The 22,711-nt window shown below is 41.2% G+C and overlaps 1 protein-coding gene across 33 annotated transcripts in view; it reads left to right on the plus strand.

Annotated features, from left to right (window-relative positions):
* The window catches only part of PCCA (propionyl-CoA carboxylase subunit alpha), a 441,343-nt gene that overhangs the window by 318,540 nt on the left and 100,092 nt on the right, over window positions 1–22,711 (plus strand). For all 33 annotated transcript variants that reach the window (NR_148030.2, NR_148027.2, NR_148028.2 and 30 more), the window contains one exon: window positions 18,001–18,099. Coding sequence is in view for 27 of the 33 variants with exons in the window: in XM_017020609.2 (XP_016876098.1) it covers window positions 18,001–18,099 (99 nt within the window). In the remaining 6 variants the exon portion in view is untranslated. Of the gene's footprint in view, window positions 1–18,000; window positions 18,100–22,711 lie in introns of those variants that run through there.

Consider the following 22,711-nt stretch of genomic DNA (forward strand, 5'->3'; position numbering starts at 1 on the left):
TGCAAGATTCATTTCCACAATTCTTCCACCACTTGTTTGAACCTTCAGCTTTTTCCTAATTTAAAACTGTCCTTTAACCTAGACAAAAATTTATATTTCCATGCCTCCTTGTAACCTTTTGCTAAAAAACACATTTTACTGTTCTTACATACCTTGCATGTAAATCTATTTCCAGTAGTCTTAATTACATGTTATAATAGTAACTCCTAGCAATTTTTAACTTTTTTAAAACTTGGGGCTGGGCATGGTGGTTCATGCCTGTAATTCCAGCACTTTGGGAGGCTGAGGTGGGTGGATTACCTGAGGTCAGGAGGTCAAGACCAGCCTGACCAACATGGTGAGACCCTGTCTCTACTAAAAATACAAAAAATTATCTGGGCATGGTGGCGGGCGCCTGTTATCCCAGCTACTGTGGAGGCTGAGGCAGGAGAATTTCTTGAACCCAGGAGGCAAAGCTTGCAGTGAGCTAAGATTGCACGACTGCACTCCAGCCTGGGTGACAGAGTGAGACTCCGTCTTAAACAAACAAACAAACTTGATAAGTTGTTTTAATTGTTTAATTGTGTGCTAAGTGCTGCCAAGGTTTGCCTTCTTAATTAAGAGCATGGTTATATGTCCCCAGCCCTTACCAGTTGTGAAGCCAGCAAGTCAAATAGTTCTTAAAACTCAAAAAGCAGCTTGTAACCTCAAAATACTTAGCAAACTTTGTATCTGACCTGCATTGTTTAGTCCACCTATTTACATTTTGACAACATCTGCTCTTTACCAATAATCCTTAAGGCTGTTTTTGTTTCTCAATGATTAAAGTCACGTGAACTGAAAGGTATCACAGTTTTTATCTTCCCTTTAAAAAATATTAGATCCAAGTGCTTGTCTTTGTTTAGGCCAAATTAATTAGAGCTCTTTTTACAGATACCACACACAGTATATACACAGACAGGCAAAAGAAAACCCAGTCACTGGGTGGGGCCCTTTAAGAGACAGGGCTAGGAAGACATGCAGATATGGAACCAGAGAGGGCTCATCCCCTAAGGCAGGATTGCTAAACAAAGCCTTGCCACTGGAGTTAGAAGCCATGCCCTCAGGATGTAAAACAAGATGGAAGCCTGATTTCACAACCAACACCTTGCAGAGAATACAAACAGTGATAGTTCCGGGGTGGGGGTCTGGCCTAGTAAAGTGTTTTCTAAAAGAGAAAAAACTTAAAAGTTAACTGTTGACAGGGTAAAGTAGGAAAAAAACAACAACAAAACAACAGCAGGTTAAAAAATGCCTAGGAAAGAACCTTTTATTCTCATGCAAGTGGTTCTTTCACCGAGGAGAGAAGCTTAAGCTTAATTACTGTCCGATGGAGTTGAAACCCTTGGCTGGGGAAGGGGAAGGCTCCAGTGGCTCGTGGCAGAAAATGCCAGCCAGCCACCCCGGGTGCCCTTGGACCATGTGTCCAAGCCTCAGCAGTGGAGGAGGGAGGTAGGGAGCTGCTGCTCTCTGGTCCCTCCCAAAAAAGGAAGAAAAGGGCTATGGAAAGGTCGGGTTGGTTCTCAACCCCTGGGAGCAGCAGGCGGTGGGGGCACAGTTTCCTCCACCCTCAGAAATCTCAGGATAAAAAGGCTTAGGAGCCACAGTGAAAGGTTTTGAGTCCCCATTTCACTCACTGCTTCTTGAGCCCCACATTGGGCGCCAAAAATGGTTCCTGGACTTTTCCTTAGTTCGGCTAAAGATGAGGTTCTTTGTCCCATGGCCAGAAGAATTCAGGCTTGCAGTTTGAATGGGAGTAAGGCAGGGTTTTATAGGGTGAAAAGGGAAAAAAAGGGGGAACAGGGACTCAGCGAGGCCAGAGTTCCTGCTAGAGTGCTTCTCACCCACAGCTTAAATTCCTACTTCCACATAGGAAGAGGAGGGGCCAAACGGTGCAGATGGTGAGGACTTCCTGAGGCTCCACCCCAGTGCACAGGCCAGTTGGAGTTTTTCCAGGGGCCCCTTCCCGCCTGGCTATCTCACCATGATCGGAACACCTCCCACTGGTCCCTACCTCCAGCAGTGGAGATTACAGTTCAACATGAGATTTGAACAGGGACAACTGTCCAAACTATATCAGTGTGTCTTTTAGAGTTGGCCATTTTTGTCACCCCCACTCGTTTATTTATTTTTTTGAGATGGAGTCTCATTCTGTCGCCCAGGATGGAGTGCAATGACATGATCTCAGCTCACTGCAACCTCTGCCTCCTAGGTTCAAGCAACTGAACCTGTTGAGTAGCTGTTGGGATTACAGGCATGCCACCATGCCCAGCTAATTTTTGTATTTTTAGTAGAGACGGGGTTTCACCATGTTGGTCAGGCTGGTCTTGAACTCCTGACCTCAAGTGATCCACCCACCTCAGCCTCCCAAAGTGCTGGGATTACAGGCGTGAGCAACCATGCCCAGCCTGTCACCCGTACTTGTGATATGATTCAACAAACCCGTTTCTATGGCCAAATTGGTTTGCTAATTAATGTACTATATGGACTGGGATTCTTTGGTACAAAACGTGACTGTCCAAATAGCCTGACTAATTATCTATTTTCCTTAATTTTTTGCCAGGGAAATTTTTTTTGTTTTTGTTGTTGTTTTGTTTTGTTTTGTTTTTTTGAGACGGAGTCTCGCTCTGTCCCCAGGCTGGAGTGCATTGGCATGATCTGAGCTCACTGCAACCTCCACCTCCTGGGTTCAAGCAATTCTCCTGCCTTAGCCCTCTGAGTAGCTGCGACTACAGGTACATGCCGTGATGCCCAGCTAATTTTTGTATTTTTATTAGAGACAGGGTTTCACTGTGTTGGCCAGGATAGTCTTGATCACTTGACCTCGTGATCCACCTGCCTTGGCCTCCCAAAGTGCTGGGATTACAGGCTTGAGCCACCACGCCCAGCCTGCCAGGAAAATTGTAAAGTCTACACACAGTGGAGCTACTAGTGTAGTGAGCACCATGTGCAGTTCTTGCGGACCTCTCCTTGCACACCACTGTTTTTATTCTGAAGTATTTTATAGCACGTATTGCAGTCCTGTAAATTGATGCTATTTTTTTTAAAGTTTGTTGAATTGCAGTATCCTAAATTCCCAAACCCATGTCCACTGACAACCTAGCACACTCTTTTTTTTCCCCAAGAGAAACTCGTTTCTTATTAAATTTTGCATTAGTGTCAAATCGGTTGACTGTTTTTTTTGTTAAAGCACTGTCATATTTTTTTCTATAATATATACTCTTTGACCTACTGTGAAATATATTTAAAGTAGAAGATTTATGTGTATGTCAGACAAATTGTGAAAGAAAATAGTAGCAAACTTGTTAGTTAGCCAGATAATGTGAGGCAGTTTCTCACTGTCTGTCTTTGAAGGGAGTTGCAAATATAGAATAGGGGAAAGTTAAAATAAATCCTACATTGTTGAAATGTTTGGAATCAGAGGTATCAATGTGAAGTCATTTTTTTTTTAATCAGTAGACACAGAAACAGATTTAGATGTATTTGCTTAGGGCTTAACTTTACAAACTTGGCAGAAACCATCTTAACCAGTAATAAAGTAACCTTACTGGTAATGGGACAGGTGTGCCTCTTGATTTTTTTTTTTTTTTTTTGAGACATGGTCTTGCTCTGTTGCCCAGGCTGGAGTGCAGTGGCACGATCTTGACTCACTGTTACCTCTGCCTCCCAGGTTCAAGTGATTCTCATGCCTCAGCCTCCCAAGTAGCTGGGATTGCAGGTGTCCAAGCCATGCTAATTTTTTGTATTTTTAATAGAGACAGGGTTTTGCTATGTTGACCAGGCTGTGCCTCCTGATTTGATGCTGAAAAAAGCACAACATTACTTCTGTGGTATTCCAGATAAAAATACATTAATCAAGAGGAAACATTTTCCCAAATTAACTGGTCTATGCCCTGCAAGTCTGGAAAGTGTCTTAGTCAATTTGGACTGCTATAATAAATATACCGTAGAATGGGTGGCTTAAACAACAGTCATTTATTCCTCCAGTTCTGTAGGCTGATAAGTCCAAAATCAAGGTGCTGGCAGATCCGGTGTTTGGTAAGGACCCACTTCCTGGTTTGCAGATGGCCATCTTTCTTGCTGTGTTCATTCATGGCTGAGAGCAGAGGGAGAGGAAGCAGCTCTTGTGTCTCTTCTTATAAGGGCACTGATGCCATCAGGAGGGCTCCACCCCCACCACCTCATTACCTCCCAAAGGTCCTGTCTCCTCATACTGTCATATTGAGAGTTAGGCTTTTATCATATGAATTTTGAGGGGACACAACCATTCAGTCCATAGCACAAGGAAAATCATGAAGGACAAGCAAAGTTAAGGAACTATTCAGGTTGAGAGAGACACCAAAGAGACATGAAAACTAAATGTATGAACCTAAATTAGATCTTAGACATACCATAAAGGACATTATTAGGGCTATTAGAATTTGAATAGAGTTTGTGGATTAGTTGGTAATATTGGGTTAATAGTAAATTCCTGTTTTGTTGACTGCACTGTGCTGTCGACAAAATGTTAGTGACAGCAAAATGTTGTTGATAGCACAGTGCAGTCAACAACATCAGGAAGTTACTATTACTCCAGTATTGCCATCTAGTTCACAGACTCTGTTCACATTCACTAAGGAGAGGGTCCTTGTACTTGGGAATAAATGCGGAAGTATTAAAGGGTAATGGGACATCATAAAATGTATTCTTTACTGCTCAGAAATGTTAGCAGCTAGGGAATCTGGGTGAAGGGTGTAAGGGAACTCCGTGTACTATTGCTATAACTTTTATGTATATCTGAAATTGTTTTACAAGAAACAAACAAGATACAAAGAAATACCTCCCCAGGATGTTTATTAGAACAATAGAGGCTAACTATACCATTTTTCTATTTCTTATTAGGTGCAATAAAAGGACACTGGTAACTGTAAATTTAACAGTTAAAAGTAAGGTCATGGCGGTGGCTTACAGCTGATAGTGCCCTGTATACTCTGTACAAGTGCATGCTTTATTATGATCAACCTAATGGATAGTTAGTTTTGTTTTTTTTTAAACCAGGGTCTTCCTTGAGATGTAATGGGCACAGAGTAAACGGCTGATTGTTAGCTTATTCTGTGGATGTATGTGATGAGTGGGTCTGGGGCATCAGTTTCTATATCTCACCTTTACCTATCAAAGAAATTGGACAAACCATGATAGCAAACAAATGAAAAGAAAAAGGAGTTTTATTGTTCATGCTTACAAAAGAATCCTGTTAATCAATTTGTAATCCACCAATTATTTTGGGAATAAAATTGTAGCAAATAAATTTAAGATAGAAACATAAAACTATTAAACATGTTATTTGTATTATAATGTAAAATATAATTAATATTTTAGTATGTACATATTAGGAATAATGTCACTGGTGGCCCCAGAGGCTAAAAAACAGAATGCAAACCTGCTGGAAAATCCTTGGTAGATAGGAGCATAGAAAACAGAATATCAAATGCATTTATTGTTGGCCAGGAGACATGGACTACTAGGGGAAATTCTGAGTGTCTAAGGATAGTACTAGAATGCTAAACAGTCACAGATAATAATATAAAGTAGGTAGGATTAACAAGAAACAGCACATCACAGTCACAATGTGTGGGAATTAGGCAAAGGAAATACGTAGCCATTTTTATGGACGTCTTATAGTCCACTTAGACAATAGATGTATTCTGTGGTGGTAAACCACCAGCTTAGGTAATGGGATTTATTGGAGGACATCAGTGGTAGCAAAATACATATGAAAAGCAAAAGCATACTAATAGGAATCTGATGAAATTAAGAGAATAAATAATGGAGGAGATATTAGTGAAGAACAAGAAAAATTGAAGAACAGTAAAAGTAGGCATGCTTGGAAAAGGAGAAAAATAGATCTCTAATAATCATTTTTGGGGAGGAGTATAGAGCGTCACTAAGTTGAACTACCACCAACAGCCAGCATTCATTGAGGGCTTATTATGTACTAGGTGCTGTTCTAAGGGCTTGACTTCATTCCTCACAACCACTCCTTGAATATGCATTTTACATATGAGAAAATGGACACATGAACAATTAGGTTACTTGTGGAACTGAGGTTCAAACACAAGCATTGCGACCATTCACGGCAATACTGCATAGAAACACAGGATTCCACCATAATCAGGTAGGGGAGCGAAAGGCAGTTTCAATTGTTCTTTATGTAAAGAACTCATCTACCTGGAGTTATTCATTAAGCTGATATAATTTACAGTGTGATCTGCAGAGAATGACCTTATCACACCAATCCAAAAGAAACTACTACTATAATTAAACTGTGGGCAAAATAATGTAGGATATTTTTGTAGACCGTAAAACTGAAATTAAAGTTGTTACTGATCAATTAATGAGGTGATAATTAAACAGAAACTAGCCAACCTGACTGATTGTAGACCAATACCTAAAATTTGTTTTTGCAATTCACATCCTTTGAGATATATTTAATTACATTTATAACACATGGATATTTAATATAATCTTTTGTGACAGATTGACAGATCTTCACTATCATTATGTGTAATTCCTCTTGATGTTTTTGTCATTATTACATATATATTTGGGAGAGAAATAAAAGGCTGTTTCCAAGGTGATGGTGATAAAGAGCAAACTTATAAAAATGGTTGCCTCCTTTTGTTTGTATAAAACAACCATCTCATTTCCCTCTGGGAGGTCACTAGAGGTATGATAGCTCTGTTTTGAAATAATATTTTAGTAAATAGGAAAGCAGGGTAAAGAAAGCCTCCCCTTTTTGTGTTATGTTAAGGTTTAAAACTGTGTTACAGTTTATACTAAAACATTAAGAATCAATTATTATAAGAGCATTAAATTGTTTGAGTTTTGTCATGCTTTGCCTAGAAATCAGCACTGAAGCGAGTGACTTAGCAACGTTATTAGATCTATTAAATAATTGGAAATTTATGTGCTTATTGTCAGCATCTTGGCTTTTTAGAATTTTAAAGTATGTTTGTGCTTCACATCTCTAGTTGCAGTTTATGTAGAATTTAGTGAACTATAATAACGTTGGATGGTGGTAATGTCACAGTGTAATTAACTGCATAGCATACAAAGTTCTTTGTTAATGGGGAATGGGATATACATCATCTATTTGATATATAAGTTAATAATCATACTTTTTGTTAGCAGTAGTTAAATGATAAGAACTAAAAAGAAGCAATAAACATCTCCATCTCTAAAACAGTCTTGCAAATATGCAGTGAGCATCTACTGTATACAAGCACTATATCTTCATATTTAGATTACATTTGCTATTTTGCTTTTCACATGTGAACTTAAGTGAAATACTCTAAGGAGTATTGCAAGGTAATTGCCCCTATAAATTACATAATTTATATGGCTCTTTAACTTTTTTAGATGTAAAATGGGAGGAGGAGAGCGTTGAGTTGGAGTGTATTATTTCTAGGATTCTTTCTAGCCCACAAGTCGAATCAGAAAACAGTGGCTCATGCCTGTAATCTCAGCACTTTGGAAGGCTCAGGTGAGAGGATTGCTTGAGGCCAGGAGATCGAGACCAGCCTGGGCACATAGTGAGACCACACCTCTACAAAAAAAAAAAAAAAAAATTAGCCAGGCATGATGGCAAACATCTGTAACCCCAGCTACTCAACCCGCTGATGTGGGCAAATTGCTTGAGCCCAGGGGGTTGAGGCTGCAGTGAGCTGGATCCCACCACTGCTTTCCAGCCTGGGTGACAGAGTGAGACCCTGTCTCCAAAACAAAACAAAGCAATCAGAAATGTACAGATCTTTTTCCACAGTTTGTGCAGAACAGTCACTTCTAAGATATACTATGAAAGTCTATTACAGGAGCAGGAACTAGTTATTCCTTTCTGAGAATTAGATATAACTTGACCAACAAATCGGTTTTTTATCCTTCATATCATCTTCAGAAGTAGAAGCAAGATATATGATCAAAGTCTTTTTAAAAATAGCAGAATACCGGGGTTTTTATTTTATATTTTCACTCTGCACAATGCTAATCTCCTTAACATTTGATGACAAAGAAAAAACTTGGAATTTGTGTATGACAAAAAGAATGACTTATGAGGTGAATCGAAAACACTTTTTACAGCCTCTGTCTTCCTAAAGTTTATTGTTTTTGGAAATAGTTTTTTGGCAAATATTTTGTTTTGTAAGTTTTACATTTCTAAAGTTGAATAAAATTAAATGTTTAGCAGGTGCTTGTTGTAATAGAAGCTATAATATTTTAACTATGTCATGAGGTATCTCTGAGGAAGTGTTTCTTTTTTGTTTTTTAATGGTAAAGGATGTCAGTAATATCTCTCAAATGTCAAATTAATTTAGGGTGTGTACTTTCTTTTTCCCTATGATGACGTAGATAGGAAAATCGAATGTTCCAAACAACTCATGGAAAATGTTCCACTTCAGCGTTATTTGTACCACAAATGCAGTGAAATGCTTTTAATGGAATCCAGAGTGATAGGTGGATTATGACATGTGGGGAGATGCCTTCTTGAAATAGGACATAAATCATGGTTTTTTTTTTTTTTCTGAGACGGAGTCTCGCTCTGTCGCCCAGGCTGGAGTGCAGTGGCATGATCTCAGCTCACTGCAACCTCCACCTCCCAGGTTCAAGCAGTTCTCAGCCTCTTGAGTAGCTGGGATTACAGGTGCCCACGACCATGCCCATCTAATTTTTATATTTTTAGTAGAGAGAAAGTTTCACCATGTTGGCCAGGCTAGTCTCGAACTGTTGACCTCAAGTACTCCGCCCGCCTCGGCCTCCCAAAATTCTGGGATTAGAGGCGTGAGCCACCGTGCCCAGCCAAATCATGTTTTTGAACTTGTTTTAAATATCTGTGTGTGTGTGTGTGTGTGTGTGTATGTATTTTTTTTTTTATGGAGTCTTGCTCTGTTGCCCAGGGTAGAGTGCAATGGCACGATCTCAGCTCACTGCAACCTCCACCTGCCGGGTTCCAGTGACCTCAGCCGCCTGAGTAACTGGGATTACAGACACTCGCCACCACGCCCAACTAATTTTTGTATTTTTAGTAGAGACGGGGTTTCACCATCTTGGCCAGGCTGGTCTCAAACTCCTGGCCCCATAATCTACCCGCCTTGGCCTTCCAAAGTGCTGGGATTACAGGTGCGTGAGCCACCGCGCCCGACCAGTATTATGTATATTCTTTTTGTTTGTTTGTTTTTTGAGATGGAGTTTTGCTCTTGTTGTCCAGGCTGCAGTGCAATGGCGCGATCTCGGCTCACTGCAACCTCTGCCTCCCAGGTTCAAGCAATTCTCCTGCTTCAGCCTCCCGAGTAGCTGGGATTACAGGCATGTGCCACCACGCCTGGCTAATTTTGTATTTTTAGTAGAGACGGGGTTTCTCCATTTTGGGCAGGCTAGTCTCGAACTCCCAACCTCAGGTGATCCCCCCGCCTTGGCCTCCCAAAGTGCTGGGATTACAGGCGTGAGCCACCGTGCCCGGCCTGTCATGTGTATTCTAATTATAAATAATTTTCAACCAAACTGATATGTTTGGTTAAGCTGGGGAAAGTTTTCAGAAAATAGAGTACACTGAGATGAATTTCATGAACTGTACCCACCAAAGCCTTGTCCTGGTTAATTCAAATTTATAATGCCAATAGTTTAAATTAGCATTTAGCCTTTAAGTGACGGTGGAATGGTGAGGCATATGATGTTTTTATACCAAACACTCCGTGCTCCATGTCTTTTTTGGAGTTTACACTTTTCAAAAACAGGCGGCACTTCCATGTGTTTATTTCCCCTTCATCTCTGTTTAGTGAATGATTGGTTTCATCTTTACAAAGATTATTCTGGCTGTAGTGGGGAGAACCAGTTGGAGATATGGAAGATGTATGTGGGGAGGCCAGAGTATCGTGGCAGTCTGCCTGAGAGATGCAGTGGCCGGGGTTTGGTCTAAGATGTTATTGGTGGAGACGGAGAGAATTTGCGGTATTTGAGAGCCACTCCAGCCTCCATTATTTCTAATTCTATGTCCTCTACCCTTCTCTGTCATCTCTCCACTGCCTCCCAGCCCCTTCCACTGTGCCCCCTGTATTGCCCACTTTCAGACCAACAGCCTTTTGTATCAGCCTTTTCTGGAATGTTCCACTAATTACTTACCCTAACTAAAACCTTAGGGTAGTTTTGTTCTCATACCACACGCACCTCCAAGACAGGAGGTGGGATTACTTTCCTCCTTGTGTCATTCAGGACGACTGCTCCGCTCTTTCTTGTAAGCCCTTTCTTTTTTGAAATCACATCATCAGTCTTCACTACCTCATCTTCCTCTTGGCAACCTTCAGCTCCCCTTCCCTGTATCCCTCTCCCTGCACGTGAAGACCAGCAGCCAGTTCCTGGTCTGTCTGTCTGTCTCCATACAATCATTATTCCCTGTATTTTCTCTCCATCCACAGACACCACTCCTGTTTTTACATCCTTTATCCAATCCCTGGCCTGGCATTATAGTCACTCACTCATGAATACCCTTAACTGCTCACTCCTTCATTCTTCCATCAGTCTCAAACTTAGAGGAACTCTGCCTCCACCTTCCCTATGCCTGCGCATGAGCACCTTACCATGGCTGGTGAACGTCCCATACCAAGGGCACAGTTAACATGCGTCTGCTGGTCAGGGCCAGCTGAGCATCCTACACTGGGCAGAAGGGTTGCTGTTTCTCTGATAACTTCTCCTCCCTTATCCTCAGTGATTCCTTCCTGTCTTCACCACTGTATTCACATGTCCCACGCTCCTGCTGCAGCTGACACTACTTCTGAATGTCCCTCTTCTCTATACCACCAGGGCTCTAGATCTGATCACCATGACTTTTAGTTTTATTTCCTCTAATTCATTGTCCAAGCTATAGCCTGCATGATCTTTCAAAAATGGACAGTGTGGCTCACACCTGTAATCGCAGCACTTTGGGAGGCCGAGGTGGGCAGAGATCAGGAGTTCGAGACCAGCCTGGCCAACATGGTGAAACCCCGTCTCTACTAAAAATACAAAATATTAGCCGGGCATGGTGGTGTACACCTGTAATCCCAACTACTCGGGAGGCTGAGGTGGGAGAATCATTGGAACCCAGGCAGTGGAGGTTGTAGTGAGCCAAGATCATGCCATCGTACTTCAGCCTGGGCAAGAGAGTGAGACTCCACCTCAAAAAAAAAAAAGAAAAAAGAAGAAAAAAAAGGACAGCAGACAATGGCACTCTGCAGGTGGAACTGCTTCATGTTTCCCACTCCTGTCCCTGTTCTTCAAGAGCCGGCCTCCCCTTCTCTCTGCTCCATCCACATGGGTTTCAAAGAAGCTTAGCTCTTTCTCACCCCAGGGTTTTTTTCTTTCTTTTTTTTTTTAAATATGATATTCCTTCTAGAATATTCCCACACACCCATCACTAGCATACTTAATTCCTACTCACCCTTCCAGTCTTTGCTCAAGATCACCTCCTCAGAGAGGTCCTTCTTCCTGCTGACAAGTAAAGAATAATGAGAATTCAGAAGAGGCTATAGAAATTGGCTGGGTGTGATGGCTCACGCCTGTAATCCCAGCACTTTGGGAGGCCGAGGTGGGTGGATCACTTGAGGTCAGAAGTTCGAGACCAGCCTGGCCAACATGGTGAAACCCCATCTCTACTAAAAATACAAAAATTAGCCAGGTGTGGTGGTGGGCGCCTGTAATCCCAGCTACTTGGGAGGCTGAGGTAGGAGAATTGCGTGAACCTGGGAGGCGGAGGCTGCAGTGGGCCAAGATTGTACCACTGTACTCTAGCCTGGGCAACAGAGCGAGACTTTGTCTCAAAAAAAAAAAAAAGAAAAGAAAAGAAATTGCTGAAGATTTGTGATTTTTCACAATACAGTTTTAGTAGTCAGATTATAGAAGGTTATGGGGAAAGGTGTATGGTAAGAAAATAGCTGCAGAGAACTTGTTTTAGAACCTGTCAGAGAAAGGAAGAGACACAGTTAGGGAGCTATGGAGTCGTGCATGTGTTTGAAAGCAGAGGCGAGACGCCAGTGTAGACTGAAAGCTGGAGAACAGCGAAGTTAAAAGGATTAACTAAGAAGCAGAGAGGGCATGAGATGGGAGTGAAGGAAAGAGCATGGCTGGTTAGGCGAGAAAATAAGGACTTGGGCCTATGGCTTCGATTTTGGTAAAGAGAAGAAGTCATCTGCTGAGAGTAGGGGGCAGGGTTATAATTAATGTAAGTTTGGTGCACTTGAGTCCTTGGTCAATTTCAGGGCAAATTATATAATCTTTGTTTACATTAGCATGGCTGCTAAACACCTCTAGCGTTGTGTCTTTGGATAGTTTATGAAATACAGAGTTTTTTGCATAATTTAAACTACTCCAGTGTTTTCACAGTGCTAAGACATTTTGATAATATTGTCTGCCTTGAAAGGAGCAGATTTTACTTGTGCCTCAGGATATTATGTCATTTATCACTTCACTTTTGGCTTATTTTTCTTTTTATCCCCACACTGAATTTGATTTAATTTGTTAGCTTTTATTGTCAATTAAAGGCAAAATGTCAAAAAGTTCTAACCTCAAACAGAGGTATGTGAGCAAAACACTCACTTTATAATATTGGAAATAGCCATATTAGAAATTAAATGTCTGAGGTCAGATATGGTGGCTCACGTCTGTAATCTCAGCACTTTGGGAGACCAAGGTGGGAGGACTGCTTGAGCCCAGGAATTCGGGACCAGCCCTGGCAACACAGTGAGAACCTGTCTCTCCAAAATAAATTAATAAATATATAAATCTGGAGGTGGTAGCTCGTGCCTGTAGTCCCAGCTACACGGGAGGCTGAGGTGGGAGGATTACTTGAGCCTGGGAGGTCAAGGCTCAGTGAGCCATGATCATGCCACTGCACTCCAGCCTGGGTGATGGAGTGATGCCCTATCTCAAAAAAACAAAGACATTAACCATCTAAATACATCTGAAATAAAAGGGCTTTGTAACCACAGAATTATAGATGTAGCAGAGATATTTGACCTTGTTAGTTCAGGTCTCTTTCAGATGAGGAAGAGAGATTATCTGAAACACATTGTAAAATTTGGTGTTGTAGTTGAAGTCTGTAAATCTACAACCAGAGAAATAGAAATTAGTATCCACCTGTTAACTCAAATGCAGTTTAAAAAAAACAGCTACGATTTATTGTGTGCCTACTAGTGAAAGGTCTGAAGTGGTTGTTGATTGCATATTGTAATGACAGAGAAAATGAGCACACTTCACTTGAAAAAAAAACTTTAGAGTGGATGTAGTGGCTCATGCCTGTAATCCCAGTACTTTGGGAGGCCGTGGCGGGCCAATCATCTGAGGTCAGGAGTTTGCAACCAGCCTGGCCAACATGGTGAAACACCGTCTCTACTAACAATGCAAAAATTAGCCGGGCCTGGTGGCAGGCGCCTGTAATTCCAGCTACTCAGGAGGCTGAGACAGGAGAATCGCTTGAACCCGGGAGGTGGACGGAGGTTGCAGTGAGCTGAGATTGCGAGACTGTGCTGCAGCCTGGTCCACAGAGTGAGGCTTAAAAAAAAAAAAAATTAATGTACTGTATGTATATATGGTACAAAGTTCAAAAAGTCCAAATGGATTTGTGGGGAAAAACAAGCCTCCCTTTCATACCTGTTCCTCAGCTATTCTGTCGCTCTTAAGCATTTGTCCAGAGATACTCTTTGCATTTAAAAACACACATGTATAGTTATTTTTTTCTTAAAAAATGATAGCACACTGTATACACTATTCTGTATTTTCTTGAAAATGGTTTCAAATCAATATGTATAGAGATGACTCATTTTTTTAAAGAAGGGGCACTAAGTTTTTACATTCTACAGAATATGTATTTATTTGATATACTTTAAGGAAATCTTTGCTGGGTGTAAAATTGGGGGACAACATTTCCTTTTTTTTTTAGTACTTAGACTATATTGCTGTGTGGTCTTCTGTATCTGTGTTGCTTTTGAGAAATTAGACTGACCTGAGTTTTTTTCCTTTCTTGTACATGATTTCTTATTTTTTATTTTTTTTGAGATGGAGTCCCGCTCTGTCGTGCAGGCTGGAGTGTGGTGGCGCGATCTCAGCTCACTGCAACCTCTGCCTCCCAGGTTCAAGCGATTCTCCTGCCTCAGCCTCCCGAGTAGCTGGGACTACAGGCACCCACTACCATGCCCGGCTAATTTTTGTCTTTTTAGTTGAGACGAGGTTTCACCATGTTGGTCAGGCTGGTCTCAATCTCCTGACCTTAGGTGATCCGCCCGCCTCGGCCTCCCAAAGTGCTGGGATTACAGGCGTGAGCCACTGCACCCAACCCATGATTTTTTATTTCTAACTTAATACCTCCATACTTTCTTTTTATTCTCTTCTTTTCTTTCTTTTCCTTTTCTCTTCTCTTTTCTTTTCTTTCTTTCTTTCTTTCTTTCTTTCTTTCTTTCTTTCTTTCTTTCTTTTCTTTCTTTCTTTCTTTTTTTTTTTTTTTTTGACAGCATTTTGCTCTGTCGTCCAGCCTGGAGTGCAGTGGCAAAATCATGGTTCAGTGTAGCTTGGAAGGCCTGGGCTCAAGCAATCTCCCCTGCCTCAGACTCCTGAGTAGCTGAGACTACGGGCACTGGCCATCATGCCTGGCTAAGTAAAAAAAATTTTTTTTGTAGAGATGGGGTCTCACTTTGTTGCCCAGGCTGGTTTCAAACTCCTGGCTTCAAGCAGTCCTCCTGCCTGGGCCTCCCAAAGTGCTGGGCTTACAGGCGTGAGCCACCATGCCTGGCCATAATTCTTTCTCTAGCCTTAAAGTTCTATAAACATAATCAATCCACAAATTCCAGGTTTTACTTATTTTGACAAGTTTTATCCTGTTATGTATCTTTGAATGTACATTTGTTCTTTTTGCTTTGTGAGCCTCTTTGGACAGTTACATATTCTTTCTAACCCCCTTCCTCCTCCATATCTGTTGTCTTCTCAGTAAATTGGTTTTATATTGTTAGTCTTATCTATTTCATTTTATATGATTTCTTCAGTCCTTATCTTTCTTTTAGTCACATTTATTCTATTTTTGGTTGCTTCTTAATGTGGCTTTTATCTCAATAATGTTATTTTTCTCTCCATTTTTTTTCTGAGTTCTATCAGCTTGACTTTCATTTCCTTCTGTTGTTGTATAATCTCTTCTTTGAACCTTTGTTTTTCTTCTTTGAGCTCTTTTTTTATTTTTATTTTTTTAAGAGGGGTCACGTTTCCTATGGTTGCCTTTGAGACTTTGGAGAACTATTTATCTGAACTCTTCCTGTGTTTCTTTGAGTAGTTCTTGTGTTATATGCTACTAATTTACCTTTTTCTCTGAGTTTTTTTTTTTTTTCCAAATTGTATGCAGACATCGAGTATTGGTTGTTTTCTGAGTGTTGTTTATGTTGAAATAGGCCGGGAGGGTAGGTGAAGCAGGCTACAGCCTTTTTTTTGGACATGTTACTTAGTCATTTCTCACCAAATCTGTTATTTAGTTTGAAAGGGTAGGCTGGTTCTTCGTGTCGGAGTCTATCACGAAATGCCACCTCCACTCCACATCTGCCCCTTCAGTGACCCTTGACTGAAGGGTTGCATGTACACAGTGGATCTGGCATGGTAACAAGGATTCTTCGGTTCAGCCAGCCCACCTTTCTCTGGTATTAACCCGTGGTTCAAAGAGACATTCTCTACTTCTCCTTTGGCCTATACTTCCATCTAGATTCCCTCCTTGGATGCTAGCATCATTAGAATCACTGTACCTCTTATTCGGGATTATGTATCTGTGTATTGCTAGAAGCCTGAGAAGGCCTGTGATGGCTTTCCACACATCCCTTGCCCCGCTTATACTGGCAGATAGGTTTCAGTTTATGATTTGGAGTCATGATAGCTTCCTTGTTTCAGTTGTGTAGGGAAGTTGCAAATTTCTACTCATGACTCATTGTGTAGATGATGAAATGTAGTGTATTTTCTATCACCTATCATCTTTGTCAGAGGCCCTCTACCTTTAGTAGTGGATGGTGGGAAGAAAAATTTGTGAGTAAACAGGATCTTGGCCTCTGTTGGTTTAAACAGTCTCTTTGGGGTAATGTGTTTCAGTTTTCTTCTATCCCCAGCTTCTGCTGAGGTGAGGTCTGGGAGCAGTGAGAGAGGCCTTTGGGAATGATGCTTAGATCTGCCTCGCGGCGCTGGCATGGGGAGAACGTAGACTCACACGCAGTCTTCCTGAGGCTTTGCTACGAGGGCCTGGGTGGGTAACCACTGAGTAACATCTCTCGCTGTTGAGGCTTTGAAAGCCTTGAGGAGGCTTCTCCTGTCCTTAGACCTACTACAGTCGGCCCATGGGCTCTGCATCTGTGGATCCAACCAACTGCAGATATTTGGGGGAGCGGGGAGGAAAAGATTTGGATCTGTACTGAATAGGTACTGCCTTTTTTCCCCCCATCTTTATTCCCTAAACAATAGAGGATAACAACTATTTAGATAGCATTTACATTGTATTAGGTATTATAATTCAAAGGTATTATAGGTAATCTAGAGATGATTCAATATATGGAAGAATGTGCCTGGGTTAGATGCAAATACTACACCATTTTATATCAGGGACTTGGAGCATCCCCGGATTTTGGTATCTGCAGGGCGGGGCGGGGGTGGTGCTCCTGGAACCCGCCTCCCATGGATTCCAAGGATCACCTGTATTTGCCTGCAGTCATCATGGAGTTCCCCATACTGTGTGGTCTTCATCCTGACCCAGACCTTCACTGGTCAGAACTTCAGGATTCCTATCACGATGTACTTGGGTTATTTGCCCAGCCCCTCCCTCCAGCCATGCTGCGCTGTTGCTGCCACGCCATATTCAGAATGCCACAAAACTGAGCCCTGGGCTTCACTGCAAGCCTGCAGCCTCCCCTACACTGTGTCCCAGAAGCAGACCTCTTGCCTGGATATTTTTAGGGCACCTTATACTTGTCAGAATGTTTTCAGCAATCTTTGTCCACTGCCACCCCCGCCCTATCCCCAAGGGTCCAGCAGAAGAGGAAATAGTGAAGTCTCTGATAATCTGATTTTAATGAGTATCTTTTAAGAGAAATAAGTGATAGTGGGGGAATTGTTAGGGATCATATATCATAGTTCTGCTGCAGGTTTATCTGGAAACTTGAGCAAGATTAAGTATCACCTTGTTAGGTTGTCTACCATATAATAATAATGTCATCTGTAAGCCTCTCATATTAAAGAGTTAGGGAATAAGCATCAGTGAGTGAAAGGAAGAAAACCAATAGTTCTTTCATTTTAAATTAGCTATGATTTTTAAATTTCCATTACTTTTATATTTATTTGGAAATTATTTTTTTTCTTTTACGAGTATCCCTGTTTTGAAAGATTATGGGTCTTTTTTTGCATATTCATGAAGGATGACTGGATGAAATCAGTCATTTATGATTGACAGAAATATGACAGAACTTTGCAAAGTTTGAATGGACTTTTGATATTCAACACCAAAGAATTTTGTCTAATTAAAGCTTCTGTTTAATTAAGATAACAATGCATAGTCCTTCATTAAAATTAACACAGAAAAAGTTCTTCCTTGGTCCTTGGAGAGGATATTATATGCAAGCCCTGTTGTGTGGGTTGCAAGATGTCACTGGAATTTATATGCATTACTTGTCTAATTGCAGTAAATGTAGCATGTCCAGATAGGTTTCGAGTTAGAAGGCTGTTTGTTACTTACGGAAATCACTTGAAGCCTCAGTACCCGGAGGCAGCTGTTCACAGGTCCTTCACCTCTCCCCAGAGATGACTGGGAAGACGCTGTTGTTGGACCCTGTCTTTCTTGGCTGGAGCAGTAAACATGACAGGTTGTTTGGGAGCCATCTGTTTAAAATGGCTGCTGCTTTGTATGCAGCAATGAACTTGAGATCAGTTTTCTGTCTTTCTTCATGGTAATGGTCTTATTTGGTGTCACAACAGGTGGAAGTTGATGGGTCGAAACTAAATGTGACCAGCACGTGGAACCTGGCTTCGCCCTTATTGTCTGTCAGCGTTGATGGCACTCAGAGGACTGTCCAGGTGAGTGTTGTAAGGATTTCCTTAGAGGGCCTCCTCAAGTCCAGAATCCTTGTCAGCACCTGTGTGGCTAATACTTAGAGCTATAGGAGGGAAAAGCTGTATTTTATTCACCTTATACTTTTTACAGTCGAAAACTTTTTCTTTTCTTATTTTAGAGGATCTTAAGTTTTAACCTGAGCATTTAATGTTTTCTTTTTTCAGACAATCCAAGAAGGTTCATGTATTGTACTTTGTTGTAAACAAGGAATTCTGCAGGCTTTTCTAAAAATGCTAGATTAGCTGTTTTTTTTTTTCCTCTGTGGGTTTTTAGTTGTAAAATACAACTTACTTTGTTACCTTTCTTTTCTGTGCAGTTGAAATTACGTAGTGTTAGGCTAGTAAAACTTGTGTTATTCAGGTTGACTTTCCACAGCTCACTGATGTCCTTTAAAAATTTAGTAATCTTAACTTATTAATCTTTCTTTTCGCCTCAATATAAAATGTCCTGCCTTGAGGAGATGCCTTGGAACCCAGAGTCGATAGAACATTTTTTGTAACCTGTGACTTCCATTTTAAAGTAGAAAGTTATGAAAAGAGATTCTGCCAAAATTCTTCACCTTACCTCATATTTGAGGTTTAGCGTTTTAGGAAAAAAAAAAAAATCATGGAACATGTGGCTATCACAGGCTAATAAAAATCTAGCCCCACCCATAGCATTAAATGCTCATTCTTTGTTCTTTTTTATGAAAATCATCTTAACTTGATTTTACACAGGAAACTGGTTTTAAAAACCTTGAGAAATCAGGATAATCACAGATTAAGACTACTTACTCCATACCTGATTCTTATCTACCTCTATGAGAGACCGGGATAGTGGACATCAGAATCCACAAAAACTATGTGATGACTGAACTGATTTCTAAGTCAGTTTCAATTGATATATTATCTCTATGGTTCCAAGTAACCTTGAACTCTTGGTAATAAGCCCTATATTTTGACTTTGGTTTTGTGACTTGTCCCAGTATATTTTTTCTCATTTTTTTAATTTTCTAACTCCTGTCTTTTCTCATATTTTATAACTTAACTCATATTATATAACTTTATATAATATTATATCAGTATAAATTATGAGTTGAAATAGTTTAAGACTCTTGAAAAAAATATCACTACATAATTTCACATTACTTAGATCCATGTATTATTATGTCTTTAAAAACTGTGGTGTCTGGGCACGGTGGCTCACGCCTGTAATCCCAGCACTTTGGGAGGCCAAGGCAGGCGGATCACCTGAGGTGAAGCGTTCCAGACCAGCCTGGCCAAAGACAGTGAAACCCTGTCTCCACTACAAATACAAAAATTAGCCGGGTGTGGTGGCGGGCGCCTGTATTCCTAGCTACTTGGGAGGCCAGGGCAGGAGAATCACTTGAATCTGGGAAGCAGAGGTTGCAGTGAGCCAGGATCACGCCATTGCACTGCAGCCTGGGCAACAGAACAAGACTCTGTCTCCAAAACAAACAAACAAAACAAACAAACAAAAAACTGTGGTTTTGTTATACTGGTTTATGTTCGATAGACTGTACAGTGCATCGAATATGTTATGGCTCAAGTGTTTGTCAGAGGGACATAGTGTTAACTCTCAGTAGTCAGAAGAAAGAGGTACAAACTCCTATTATGCAAATTTTTTGTATTGTGTTACTTTCATCATCCTTTTCAGTGAGTGCGCAGATAGTTGTCTTGATGGCACTTTTACATGTAGAATTTATAGCTAGATTAATAGGGATACATATGTAGAATAATCAAAAATATTTTCCCTAGTGTAGGGATCATGTTCGGTAAATCCCTTTTTAATCCTGTAAGTACTTTGCTACTAAAAGAATTAATGTGTCTGAAATAAGTGACCCCTTAAAGAGAGATCCCTTGACTCTTAGGAAGAGGTCGTTGCATCAAGTTAAGTACTCTCTAATTGGAAGGAAATAAACTCAGAGAGGTAAATGGTGTACTAGGAAAAACAGTCGTTTACCTAAAAAAAAAAAAAAGGTAAGGAGAGTTTTTCCTTGTGAAAGGGGATGGATTTTATTTACTTTCTGTAGGCATTAGCATTATATCGACTCTTTCCAAAAATGTAATGTGGCCCCTATGAAGATAATAACAATTGTAGTAATAATAAATAACACACAGTGCTTACTGTGTTATCAGGTGTAGTTTTAAGCATAGTACAGATATGAACTTCTTTGATCTTCACAATTGTATGAAGTAGGTGCTATTTATAGTTTTATAAATGAGACAACTGAGGCTCAGAGAAAAGTAAGTGACTTACTCAAGGTCACCAGCTAGTAAGAGGTAAAGCCATGATTTTTTTTTTTTCTTTTTAAATGAGACAGGATCTCGCTCTGTCACCTAGGCTAGAGTGCAATGGCACAATCTGGGTTCACCGCAGCTTTGACCTCCCAGGCTCCAGCGATCCTCCCACCTGAGCCCCCCAGGTAGCTGGGACTACAGGTGTGCCTGCCACCACACCCAGCTAATTTTGTTTATTTTGTAGAGATGAGGCCTCACTATGTTGCCCAGGCTGGTTTGGAACTCCTGGGCTCAAGCAACCCTGCCTCCTCCCCGACCCCCCCTACCCCCCACCCCCACCCCCACCCCCCCCACACCCTCAGCCTAGATCCATGATTTAAATCCGAGCAGTCTTGCTGTAGGTAGGATCCTTGCCATCAAGCATTGCAGGATGCTGAGGCAAGCTATGTAACTTCCTGGGCATCACAAAGCTAGGAAGAAGCAGAGCAAAAACTTGGTCCGTGGCAGTCATGTGTGCTTTCCCCCACTATGCTATAGTACTTTGCGATTTTTCCTATCACATTCTTCTTCAAATTATAATTACCTGTCATTCATGCTTTAAACCAGAGATGCTTAAACTTTAATATGCTTCAGAATCAACTAGAAGCCTTGTGGAAACTCAAGTTGTTGGACCCACCCATAGCTTACTCTGATTTAGCAGGTCTGGGCTAGGTCTGCATTTCTGGCAAGCCCCCAGGTAATGCTGCTGGTCTGGGCCACATTTGGACACCCTCTGCTTTAAACCTTTGTAGTCAGAGAATGAGCTGAGGAGTGGTGTGCCCCAGCAAGGTGGGTAGGAACCGAGTCACATGAGCCTTATTAAGGACATAGGAGAGGCTCTACTTTATCCCTAGGTCAGTAGGGACCCGTGGAAGAGCTTTCAGTAAGGAAGTGATGATTGAACAGAATTGTAGCTTACGAGGTTTTTTTGGTTTTTGGCTGCTTTGTGGAGAGTGGCTTGAAGAAGCATGAGGTGAAGATTGGAGGCAAAGAGAGAAGTCAGCAGATGTTAGGGATTCGGAGGTAAGAAGTCTCAGCAGCTGTGGGGATGAGGGCACTGTGTGCAGAAGGGATCTGCAAGCGTGACAGGAGAAAGAACTGGTGGCTTTACAGTCATCTGCTGATTTCTCTTCTGACCACTGTTAGCATGGGCAAACCTCCAAATTCTATTCCTGACTCCCCCTTTTCTCTCTCTGCTTGCTTCCTGGGCTGCATTGCTCCAAGAGTTCCAGCTTAACACCTCCAAGCAGATAGCTACGAAATGCAATTATAAGTGTTTGTGTGTCTCTTTGCAATTGTTTATTCTGAGAAATAAGGGATGAATATTACCAAAGGCATTTTTCAAGTGATTTTACAGTAATCACTTGAAATTGATTACTGTAGTAATTGATTACTATAGTAACTGTAGGTACTTTAAAGTAATAACTACAATTCTTTTTTCTCTGGATTTTTGAGCATACATATAAACTTTATATTCTTAAATAGTATTAAATATTACTATTTATCATTAACTTGTATCATTAAATTTTATTATTAAACCTCATTTAATATAAAATAATATGTATTATTATTATTTTGAGACACAGCCTCCCTCTGTTGCCCAGGCTGGAGTGCAGTGGTACGATCTTGGCTCACTGCAACCTCTGTCTTTCGGGTTCAAGCGATTCTCTTGCCTCAGCCTCTGGAGTAGCTGGGATTACAGACACGCACTACCATGCCTCGCTAATTTTTGTATTTTTAGTAGAGATGAGGTTTCGCCATGTTGGCCAGGCTGGTCTCGAACTCCTGACCTCAGGTCATCCACCTGCCTCAGCCTCCTAAAGTGCTGGGATTACAGGTGTGAGCCATCACACCCAGCCAAAAATATTTATTATATCTATATAAAAGCTAAAGAATGACCCAATGAAAACCTGTTTACCCACTATCTAGATTAAAAAAAAGAAAACAGGCTGGTCACTGTGGCTCACGCCTGTAATCCTAGCCTTTGGGAGGCCGAAGCAGGCAGATCACCTGAGGTTCGGAGTTCGAGACCAGCCTGACCAACGTGGAGAAACCCCGTCTCTACTAAAAATACAAAATTAGCCAGGCATGGTGGCGCATGCCTGTAATCCCAGCTACTCAGGAGGCTGAGGCAGGAGAATCCCTTGAACCCGGGTTGTGGTGAGCTGAGATCGCGCCATTGCACTCCAGCCTGGGCAACAAGAGTGAAACTCCGTCTCAAAAACAAACAAACAAACAAAAAACCAAAACATTATCAGTGCTATTTGTATCATTCTTCCTTGATTAAATCCTCCTT

The sequence above is a fragment of the Homo sapiens genome, chromosome 13 (assembly GCF_000001405.40).
Source record: "Homo sapiens chromosome 13, GRCh38.p14 Primary Assembly".
NCBI classification, from domain to species: Eukaryota; Metazoa; Chordata; class Mammalia; order Primates; family Hominidae; genus Homo; species Homo sapiens.